At 37.8% G+C, this 12,778-nt stretch overlaps 1 protein-coding gene across 6 annotated transcripts in view; it reads right to left on the bottom strand.

Annotated features, from left to right (window-relative positions):
* The window catches only part of PRIM2 (DNA primase subunit 2), a 425,311-nt gene that overhangs the window by 159,543 nt on the left and 252,990 nt on the right, over window positions 1-12,778 (bottom strand). The gene's annotated exons all lie outside the window — the stretch shown is intronic.

Raw genomic sequence — 12,778 nt, 5'->3', positions numbered from 1 at the left:
CAGTGAGCCAAGATCACACCACTGCACTCCAGCCTGGGCAACACGGAAGTTTCCATCTTCTTGTCCATCTTTAACAACATGAATATGTCATAGAAGATGGTAAACTTGAAGACACTAATTCAAAATCGAGTGCTTATTCCAATTAAATTTAATATTAAACAAGCTTATTAGAAGTCATTTTTGTTGTAACTTTCTAGGGGAATTGTTAGAACTTGACTAGTGATCTTTTAAATTGTTTTCCTGATGTAACAATGACTATAAAACTTCAAGGGCTACATAAAAGTCACCAAAAATAAACATTAAATGCTTTTGCCATTCATCACACAATTTTCTCAACTGCTTTATTTTCTGAATATGAAAAACAAATCCTTATGATTCACACTAGAAGAAATCAAATGTACACTCTATGTAAGGGGAAAAAAGATTAAGGCTTTTATATAAATAACCAACCACAGAAATATTTATTGAGTGTCTACTCAATTTTCATCCATTTTCCCCAGACATCCATCTCACCAAGCCAAGTTGTTACACAATAATTCCTATGTCAATGCTAGTTATCTAGCTGTTTTCCAAGGTCTCATTTCTGATGCCTAGGTTTGTCGTTTAATGCGAAATATGACTGGCTGAGCTATAAAGATAATACAACTGTTGGGGGAGTTGAACATGCCATATATACTGGACACATCAGGAATGTGTTCACTGTGCTCAGCATCCTCATGAAGTTCAATCCGCCCATCTAGAGCCTCTGCTCAGGCAAGGCCTCACTTTCCCTAAGGACGGATCTGTGACTAAGAACATAAGGCTTCAGATTATCTGCTTTCCGTGGTCTTCCTGCCTCCAGCCCATTCTTTACTTTGTCATGGCAGGGAACCTGCCAAAATACAAATATGTTCCACTATTTCCTTGAATAAGTCTCTTAACCCATTCATGCCGTAGGTTGCAAATTGTTTTGTGAAAAATCAGACCTTGGCGATGACCATGAGCAGGATATAAATAACCCCCACAAGCTTAACGTTCCAATAATGGAACACTATGCATAAATGGGTTAAATGACTCCTTACTACCCTCCATATACAGTCCCAACTCTTTAGCCTGTTCTCCCTCTTTCGGCCTCCTCTTCTGTCCCATTCCTCACCTGACACTTCTTCCCTTTAGGCTATACTCTCCAGACATTCTGAATGACATCTCCTCCACTGGTCCAGCACTTCCACACCTTTACTCTTTGGAATTCCAATTCTCCTTCCACAAACACCCAATACCTCTCTCTGCCAAACACCTATTTAACTTTTCCATCTCTTAAGAACCTTCCAAGAAATTTCTCCTATCTTAACCTTAGAACTGATGACTCCCTTCTTGGCATCCCTGCAACACACACTCCTATGCTGCTTTGCACAAATCTGTTTGCTTGTCATGCTCACTCTCTTGGACTGTAAGCTCCTTTAAGGGGGAAGCCAGGGCTTGTTTAACTGTGACCCTGCAAAACACAGCATGGAGTTTTCATTCAATAAGTGTCTCTGTAAAATGAATTAATTAACCTTTGTATGTAAGGAAAATGTCCTACACATGGTACACACTCGTTAAATGCCAACCAGATAAGTGGATAGATTCTCTAGCCATTGATAATGATATGTGGACTACTACAGATGCTCAGATTTCCTATAACCTAAGAACTCCTAACATATAGACATACATTTTTTTCCCATAGCTTCTACTCTGTCTTAGAGACCTAAAATTAAAAGGACAAGAAAATGCAGTACTGCATATATCAGCCCTTTGCATAAACCAATACTTGCTCAGGTCTAATGTTAATAGTTACAAACATACATCTAACTCCAACCTAATTCACATGACCTATCTCTACCCCTTGATATTAGGCAGAACTCTTACATGGACAAAGAATAGAAACCAAATTCTAACTACCCAAAGAGGGGAAAACAGCAGTATCAAAAGGATTCCAGGTTGCAGCAGCTTACAGGATCTAAGGAAGAGTTAAGGTAAACAGGGCAAGGGCAGGGCCTCATAGAATAAAGCTAGGTACTCTGCCTAGCTCAATTTGGGTTAAGTTCAATTTGGGTCAAGCTGCCCTAGACTAACCACGGTGGCCAGAAGGATGTGAAAGTATGATTTCCCAGTCTGTCACATGTTCATGGAATCTCAATCTCTACCATGGATATTCACCCCTCTACTTATCATCCCACCTAACTAACCCATATTCAAATATCTCCTAAATAATGGCTCCATCGTAACTTGTCCTTACAACTTAATTAGGCAAGCCTGCATCCATTCAACAGTACTTTTTTGAGTACTTTGACTAGATTACTCCCTGACAGTCACTATTCTAGATGCTAAGGACAGAGACATGAACAAGGCAAAGTCCCTGTCTTCTAATGGTGGAAACAAATACAAAATTGACTGTCAGATATAATTAACTGCTATAATGAAAACAATCTGGTAAGGGAGTGGGGAGTAATAAGGGAAGGTTGGGACCAAAAGGCTATTTTAGACAGGAAAAATTTATCTGAGAAGGAGACACTTGAGGAAACAGACCTGAATAAAGGTCAAAGAACTAGGGGGAAAATACTGAAGGATGAAGAAAAAGCAAATGTAAAGGGCCTAAAGCACCTGTATTTGGAGAGTCACAGAAAAACCAGAAAGGAATGGTCCATAGTGAAGGAAAAACCAAGTTTAAGGCCCTGAAACAACAACAAAATGGTATGGCTAAAAAAGAACAAAGAAATCCTAGTTTTAAAAAATGAAATTAGGCAGACACACAGGGACCAGAGCATGCTTTTGGATCACAGTTAGGAGTTGGGATTTTTTTAAACTCTGAGTGTGACAAGAAACCACATGAGTTTCTTCTCAGTCCAAGCAAACTGAGTTCAGTTGAAACTTAGGTCTATGCCTTCTTATTCTATACTCTGGAAGAAAAAAGAAAGCGACGACAACAGCTAACAGCAGCATAAACCCTACAACAATCCCTATCTCTGTTACTTACTCTTTCAACATCTGTGTGAATACTGTCCTGCATCAGGCTTTAGAATCTGTTATAAAAAGGCTTTATGCAATCATCCAAGTGAAAAGCATGGTTTTAATGTTCCATGTGCTAAAGCTTTTAGGCCTATAAAGCTCAAGCCAGGTCGAAACACTATTTGTGAATAAGCAGAATAAAGTAAATAAATTTTAGCTATACATAGTAACCAAAATCCCATAGAAATAAGTACACGAAATAGCATGTGGTATTATTAAATCAATGAATAAAAGGAAGTAAGGCCTAGTACTATTTTAACGGCATGAGAACTATTTAATATCGTAATCATTTTAGGACCAAACTCAGGCCACTTTATTTACCTTTTTTACTGCTTCTACATCACAATTAAATTGTCTTCTCATGGTTTTGTTTAGTTTAGACCAATACTGGCTTACATTTCATTGCAAGTTATGTAACCTTACATTTCAAAGAAAATAAATATTTCACTTTACAACAAAGGTACTTTTGTTATTTGAAATACCAGGTCTTAGTGATTGATGATCAACACTAACAACCACTCCCTCTCCTAATCAAAAACCCTATATGCAATACAAGAAACGGCCTCTTCATTCACTGTTCCCATTCTCTTCCTGCTGCATGTGTCTTTTCCTTCTTTTGCTCCCCAGGCCTGCAGAACTTCATAATCTACACTGAATTAACAGTCATTATTAGCAATTGCCTTGCCCAGTGACCGTTTCATCTACTCCTCATTACTGAAAAATACTAGCTTCTGGGTTATCCAAGACTCATAAAGTTTGGTTTCGGTGGGGTTTTTTATAAACTATGTATCTTATATGACTAGTATGTTTTCATGTTCACCATAATATTATTAAAGATAAGTTCCTTCTGGCAAGATATATGGGTAGATATGTGTGTGTCCCTTTTGTAACAACCACTGGTAGGACTATAAGACATATTGTTAATGCTGTTGGCATTCCTTTCTTGCTGCTGCTGCTGTTTGAACATTTTAATGAAAGATTGTATTGTGCTCATATCCTGAGGCTTTAATCAAAGCCATAGTTTTGGAAATAAATAATCTAGAATCATCCAAAATGTCTTATAAAAAAAAATCATCCGGGCGCAGTGGCTCATGCCTGTAATCCCAGCACTTTGGGAGGCCGAGGCTGGTAGATCACCTGAGGTCAGGAGTTTGAGACCAGCCTGGCCAACATGATGAATCCCCATCTCTAATAAAAATACAAAAATTAGCCAGGCGTGGTGTCACACCTGTAATCCCAGCTACTCTGGAGGCTGAGGCACGAGAATAGATTGAACCCAGGAGGCGGAGGCTGCTGTGAGCAGAGATGGCACCACTGCACTCCAGCCTGTGCGACAAAGCAAGATTCCATCTTAACAACAACAAAAAAAAATCTACTTTCCTAAGAGGATCAAGGAGACCATCTGATGCTGGTCCTCAGCCTCTCGCCTCAAAAAAATCCTTGTGTTTGGTAGACTTTTTACTTCCCTCTTGAGTCTATAAAATAGGTATTTAATCTCCTTGACAAAGCTGATACTTTCTCCTGTCTCTTGATGCTGTCCCTAATGTGCCCCTCACATCTTCCTTCTCTTATCAAGCATCTTTGCTCTGTAGCTTTGAGATAATTTGCCCTCACACGCATCTTCAATCTTTCACGGTACTACTGGTTCCTCTTTTCTCTTTATATAAACGTTTCTCCTGTGTTTAAAAAAAGAAAAAATCCCTGAATGTATTGTTCACATATACACACCTTAATACCTTAAGATTTGGCCTTTGCATATACCAATGAACTGAAACTGCCCTCAGCACCTTTCTTCTGTGCTTATATTCCTCAGTCTTCCATAGGATGTCACTGTGCTGACCACCAATGTCTATTAAATTGGTCCCCCCAACCAGGTTTTCTTCTGAATCTCTGATTTATATATTTCTTTTGCTTACTAGTGCTCTTCCCCAAGAAAAATATAAATTATCGTCCCTCTATATTTGATTTTCAAATAATTCTAGCCATAACCTTTCTAAGCTACAGACTCAGATTTATAACTTCTTTCTGAACAACTCAATTTAAACAACCTATCTGCACTCAAAATGACCATACTGCAAACCAAACTCATCATTTTCCCCTAAATTACAAAAAAAAAAAAAAATCCAAATTATTTTTGTCAACAATATCTTGACCCTTTGGTCACCAGGCATCAATACCCAAATTTTCATCTTACTTTTTCTTTCCATAATCCTTCCCATCCCAGCCATGCAGACTTACCCATCATTCTCTCTGTTCTCACACTGGCCACCCACGAAGCCTTCTGAAGTTCCCAACTAGACTAGTTCAACAGCTTCTAACCTAACCTCCTTATCTCTTATTTCTCTCCTCATGTAAGCCAGGAAAAAAATCATCCCGAATCATGTCTGTTTCTAACACAAAAAGTCTGTAATAGAAAAAGAAAGTTCAACATCATTAGCCATTAGGAAAAGGCAAATCAAGACCATAATGAGATACTACTAGACACCTATCAGAAGAGCAAAAATAAAACAGTGATGACACCAAATGCCAGTAAGAATACAAAACCAGAGTCACTCCTACATTGCTGGTGGGAATGTGAAATAGTATAGTCACTCTGGACCATTTGGCAGTTTCTTTAAAAATGGAATATGCAATTAACATATGACCCAACATTTATACTCTTGGGCGTTTGTCACAAGGAAATGAAAAAAAAAAACCCAAAAACCTATGTTCGCACAAAAACCTGTACACAAATGTTGATAGCAGCTTTATTTGTAATAGCCAAAAACGAGAAATAATTCAATGCCCTTCAACAGATAAATGGTTAAACAAATACTATGCAGTGATTTATAAAGAAGCAAACTATTGATATATGCAACAACTTGGATGGATCTCCAGGGCATTATCCTGAACAACAACAACAAAACAGCCAATCTTAAAATGTACATACTGTATGAGTCTATATATACATAACATTTCTGGAGTGACAAAATTTATGGAAAACACATCAGTGGTTGCCAGGGATTAAGGATGGGGTGCTATGACTATAACAGGGTAGAATGAGGAAAATCTTTGTAATGATTAAATAGTTCTGTATCTTTCTTGCAGGGATGGCTACACAAATTTTCACATGATAAGACAGCATAGAACTATATGAACACATATTGTACCAGTGTAAACTTCTTGGTTTTGATATTATAATATAGTTAATGTAAGATGTAACCACTCGGGCAAACTGAGTGAAGTGAGAAGGACCTCTCTGTACTACATTTGCAACTTTCTATGAACCTATGATTATTTCAAAATTTTTTAAAAAGTTAAAAGTTATATAATTCCACTTATATAATATTCTTGAAATAAGAAAATTAAAGAAATGGGCCGGGTGCGATGGCTCACGCCTGTCATCTCAGCACTTCGGGAGGCAGAGCCAGGCAGATCACAAGGTCAGGAAATGGAGACCGTCCTGGCAACATGGTGAAACCCTGTCTATACTAAAAATACAAAAACTAGCTGGGCGTGGTGACATGCGTCTGTAGTACCAGCTACTCGGGAGGCTGAGAAAGGAGAATTGCTTGAACCTGGGAGGCGGAGGTTGCAGTGAGCGGAGATCGCACCATTGCACTCCAGCCTGGCGACAGAGTGAGACTCCATCTCAAAAAGGAAGAAGAAAAGAAAATCAGAGAAATGGAGAATAAGTTAGTGTCTGACAAGCATAGGAGGTGGGGAGTTGGAGAAAGTGAGTATAGATAAAGGGAAGTCTTGTAGTGATGGTTACATGAATCCATAAATATGATAAAATTCCATACTCACATACACAAGCACACACAAGTGCATGTGAAACTGATGAAGACTAAATAGCTCTGTGTACTAACATTAATTTCCTAGTTTTTTTTATTATACCTAAAGTTATGCAAGATGTTTTCACTGGGGGGAACTGGGTGAAGGATACACTGGACTCCTCTATACATTTCTTTTTCAACTTCCTGTGTATGTAAAACTGTTTCAAGATAAAAAGCTTACAAATAATAAAAAGGAAGAAGAAAAACTAAATTTAAAAAGTCATAGTTTTCCACTGCTTACTAAATTAAATAGAAATGTACTCAGACTTCAACCTCCTCACACTGTTCCACACTCTTCACCTCTCCTTACTTCCAAGTGAATCTTTGCCATACTCTAAACACATGTCATGCATTTATGACACCAACTCTCAGCCCACAAGATTCTCTCTACCTACAGCATCTGCCTAACTACCTCTTTATACTCCATCCCCATCTCTTGATAAATCTTCCTCATTTCTCAGGTCCCTTTCAAATTGCCTTCTTTGGTTTCTTCATCCAGACATTCTCTCTCCTTTCCTCTGAACACTACTTACTCTGTAATGTAAATTATCGTATTCTGCCTGATACCATAGTTAGTTGCTTTAGCTTCCCTTCAGACTTCATCTTGCCTACCACGCGGCTGGTGACCTTGCAATATATATTAGCTGGATTTACAAAAGGCAAAGTAGTTTACAGATAAGCAAACAACAACAACCAAAAAACCACAACACATACACACTCTTAAAAATGTTGCCAGGTCTTTATCCACTATATCCTCAGCCATCTGAGCTCCATAATGAGGACAGTGGCGCATTTGAATGTTCTTTAAAGGCCACACGTGTATGGGATAATATATACAGCTGTGAAAGAGAGAGCAAACCTTTTCCCTCTGTAATACAGTAATAAGAACATTAAATTGCACTTAAAAACGTAGCTTTTAAAAATCTGCAAAGAACAGCTGGAAACTATCACCTACTCAGACAGAAAAAAATAATTAGTTCTCTCTCAGTTAAGACCTGAAAAACAAGATGAATCATAAAAGGGCTATGAATAAAAGCAGTGTACCTGTAACTTTTCCTATTCCTGTTATTCTTGAAAGAATTGTTTTAAAGTTTGATGCTTTTTTTTTAGTAGTCTACAACACATTAACCAAGTAATTATGGCCAATCAACCAATTTCAAATGGATTACTATATAAGAAAGTCAGTTAATGCTCAGAATTATCAACCAACACACAAATCAGTTCTGATTATCTATTCTTAATTTATGGGGTTTCTTTCCGTTTTTAGTGACTCAAAATTATACGGAATGACTGTAATAAATCCTTTTTTCTTTTTTTAGGTGGAGTTTTGTTCTTGATGCCTAGGCTGGAGTGCAATGGCACGATCTCGCCTCACAGCAAACTCCATCTCCCAGGTTCAAGCAACTCTCCTGCCTCAGCCTCCCAAGTAGCTGGGATTACAGGCATGTGCCACCACACCCGGCTAATTTTGTATTTTTAATAGAGATGGGGTTTCTCCATGTTGGTCAGGCTGATCTCGAACTCCCGACCTCAGGTGATTCGCCCACCTTGGCCTCCTAAAGTGCTGGGATTACAGGCGTGAGCCACCGCGCCCAGCCGAATGTAATAAATCTTTAACCAGAGTATCGTTTAATCGATTATCTTTCATCTTTAAGACAAGAACAGAACCCTGGAAAAAATGATAACTACTTTACAGATGAGGAAACTTAGGCTCAGAGATGTTAAAGAGCTTGTCTAAGGGAACACAGTACGCTGGCAGGTCAAGACTCAAACCCATGTCTGTCTAATTCAAAGTCAATATAAATTCTAGTGCACAGGCCAACCTAAAATCACTTGCAAATTTCCAACTAAGAAGAAGGTACTTTCATACAAAGTCAAGATTAAATAATTTTAGTAGAGTATGTTAATTTCTAAAAAACTCATATGTGTTTTTGTATGTATCAAAAAATGTACATGCAGCCAGGCACTCTGACTCTTGCCTGCAGTCCCAGCTACCCAGGAGGCAGAGGCAGGAGGAAGACTTGAGCACAGGAGTTCGAGGCTGCAGTGAGCTATGATCATGCCACCATGCCCCAGCACCCCAGTCTGGATGAGAGAACAAGAATCTCTCTCAAAAAAAAAAAAACAAAAAAAAAACACAACCACAACAACAACTAATAAAATGAAATGTATAGTCTAAGTGGCAACGTACCTCTTTCTTACTTGTTCAACTTGTTACAAAAAATATACAGTATTTCATGTTTGAGAAAAGGAATATAGAGTAATTTTTTTAAAAGGCAGTATAGCAGGTCAAGAACACAGATAAGGGGATTAATCAAGTTTAAGTGATCATTAACAAACTGCTTTACCTTTCTGTGCCTTAGTTTCTTCATTTGTAAAGTGAGAAATCTCTACACCTCATAGTATTACGGGTATTAAACATACACGTTATCAGACTTACAGAAAACAATCAACATTAGCTATTACTATTGTTATTTCATTTATTTTTATTTATATTTTAGTGCAGTGCATGATTGTGCAATATCACTGACATAGATGATCCGTTATGAACAGGGAATACTATGCTATAAAAGATGCAAACAGCTTACAACACAAATAGGGGTTATAATACTTTTTAAAAATATTGCTTATAATCACAAAGACAAACTTTGCTTTATCCTTCACAGAGGTTATCATCTGGTTTTAAACAAATAAGTCTTTCCTTACCAGCCTCTCCAATACTCTCACTACTATAACCTCCTGTCTACCAGTCTACCCTTAAATAAAGAATCTATAGTCTTCAACTAAAATATCAATTTAACTAAAATATCTATTACGAGTAGTGTTGTTAACAATAGTAGTATTTAGCTAAGACATATGTGAATATGAAAAAATTATGTGTCAACAAGGCATAAAAATAAATGCTCACTTAAATATTTTAAGCAACAAATGTTATAGAAATGGAAAGCATTCTGGTTTCTTGTGAAAAGTAGTAGAAAGGCTATCTTCTATGGATTTTAATTTTGCTGAATAATATTGTACGATATTTGACGTTATTAATTCTAAAAATACCTTTATACTACTTTTAAATGAATACATACGCCCCAAACTGTAACTATTAAGTAGTATTTGTAAGCAATATATAACTTATCATTTTCAAAAACTAGGAATTCAATTTCATAAAACTAGGCCAGGCACAGTAGTAGCTCATGCCTATAATCCCAGAACTTTAGGGGGCTGAGGTGGGAGGACTGCTTGAGCCCAGGAGTTCAAGACCAGCCTGGGCAACATAGGAGACTCTGTTTCTATAAAACAAAAATTAAAAATCAGCTGGGCATGGTGGCAAGCACCTGGGGTCCCAGCTATTCAGGAGGCTGCAGTGGGAGGATCGATGAAGCCCAGGAGGTTGAAGCTGGAGTGAGCTGTGGTCACGCTACTGCAATCCAGCCTTGGTGACAGAGTGAGGCCCAATAAATAAATCTCTTAAAATCCAACTCATTCATAAAATTCATGAGTAAAATCTGTTTTTGGTTTCTTACAGTTTATTATAAAGTTTTAAATCACATAATGAGGCTGGGCATGGTGGCTCATGCCTGTAATCCCACCTACTTGGGAGGCTGAGGCAGGAGAATCACTTGAACCCAGAAGGCGGAGGTTGCAGTGAGCCGAGATCGCACCATTGCACTCCAGCCTGGGCAACAAGAGTGAACCCCATCTCAAAAATAAATAAATAAATATAAAAATAATCACATCATGCAATTACTTATACTACACAATATTATAACCAATGAGTCAGGGTGGCCTACAGAATTTTTAGCAAAGAGTACTATAAGTATACATCTGAAAATTCATCTTTCACAGCTGATTATGCTATAATGCAAATACAATGATGGTTACGTTCTAATACTTTTTACATGGTATAATATTATATAACATTAATAAATAGGAAAGAATGGCATGGTACCTAAAATATCTAACTGAAGCAGATGAATGGTATTTCAAAATATCCTAAAGTGAATTTCTCTTGTGGAACTGTAGTTCACTCAAGTAGCTGCAACTTGGTATTTATGTAAAGCTTATCAGGGTCTGCAAAAGCTACAAAGTGTCCCATCCATTAAATCTGCCATTAACTTAAATTCCAGCTGAATTAAACAGGATGATATCACTGCGCAATTTTGGTAGCTGAACGTATTTTACCAATTCTAAATTCTGGACAACTGGGTACTGACACTAAAATTTTTAAGTCCATTATGACCCATGACCTTCAAGATTCCAATAATTTTACTATTTATTAGTTTTAAACTACAATAATTCCAATAATGACTCATGTTTAATATTTAAGTTCATGAGGGGGTAGGGAGATGGGAATAAACCTGTAGAATATAGAGTGTATCTAGGACACCCAAAGCGACATCAGAGAGGTAAGGTAATGATTTTTTTAAAAAAACACAAACAAAACCACAACAACAACAACAACACTGACCTAGGAGTCAGGAAAACTGGTAGCCACAAATCACAAACAGAAACAATTCTCTCCTTCTTCTGAACCTGACTTTGCCCATGACACACTTAGGGCACAGACACAGATTGCTTCATATTTCAACATCCCTAGAGGATCCTAAGTTCTTTAAGGAAACGTGCCATGTCTCTTACGTTTGTATATATCATAAAACCTAACATAGTGTTTTGCATGTTAGGCACTCAATAAAAATGTGATAAATGTGCAAAAGAATGAATAGTTCCATTTTACCCATAGTCTAGCTATGCAACTTTGGAAAATCCTTGACATGCTCTGGGCCTATTATGTCCTGTATTAGTGAGGGGCAGGACGTTGGCTGTGGCAGTCAAAACAATGCTGGGAGTTTGAGAAGTGAAATGCACAAGCTAGAAAACAGTCATTATTCTGGTATATGCACACGATGAAATATCATTCAGCAGTAAAAAAGAATGGAGTACTGACATATGCTACAAAATGGATGAACCTTAAAAACGTGCTACCTGAAAGAAACCAGTCACAACAGACCACATATGATTCCATTTATATGAAATGTCCAAAATACGCAAATCTATGGAGTGGGAAAGTAGATTAGTGTTTGTCTAGGTCTGGGAGGATGGGTAGATTGGGGATGAAAGCTAATAGTTACAGGGTTTCTTTTGGGGATGATGAAAATGTTTTGAAATTGAAGTGATGGTTGCACAACTCTGTGAACACTTAAAAACCATTGAATTATATACTTTAAATGAGTAATTGTATGATATGTGAGTTATACTTCGAAACTGATTACAAAAAAGTTGTAGGAGGAGGAAGGGAGGAGGCTAAAAGAAAATACAGTCACCAATCAAACTGTATTTATATCTGTGAGAGGAAACATATTAATTGTTCTCCATAGGCCCTTCTGGCTCTCCCTTCATGACGGAGCCTCAAAGCATGCCTGCATTCCTCAGTGCCTATTCCACTGCACGCAAATAAACGATGCCCAGAGCAGCCGATTGCCTAATGCTCAATATTGGGAGGAAAGAAACAAAGAATCTAAAGCAAATCAAGTCAATATGCTCCCCTGGAAAAAAAGAGTATGCTACCAGGAGTTCTATGCCAGTGTCAGCATTGAAGTGCACAGAGGTAGGAGAAAAGACTGAACAGCATAGGTTAAAAGCTTGGCTCTGGTGTCTGGCAAACCTGGGCTCTCTCACACACTAGCCTCCACTTTCTTCTCACCTATTAAATAGGGATCATAAACTGAGTACACCTCTTTAATCACCTCTTAAAGGCCCCCACCTCTTAATAGTCTCACACTGGCAACACCTGGATTTGGGAGAGGCCACATTCAAACAGCAGCAGCAGCAGTAGTAGTATTCTCCCTGCTTAACTTCTTGCAACATCATTTAGGAATACCCGCCACAAGTAGAGTATTATTTCCAAATATATTCAAATTTAAAATGGCAGGTATACACCT

This window comes from Homo sapiens, chromosome 6, assembly GCF_000001405.40.
Source record: "Homo sapiens chromosome 6, GRCh38.p14 Primary Assembly".
NCBI lineage: Eukaryota > Metazoa > Chordata > Mammalia > Primates > Hominidae > Homo > Homo sapiens.
Note: the sequence above shows the minus strand (reverse complement) of the source record. Positions and strands in the feature narration are given on the sequence as shown.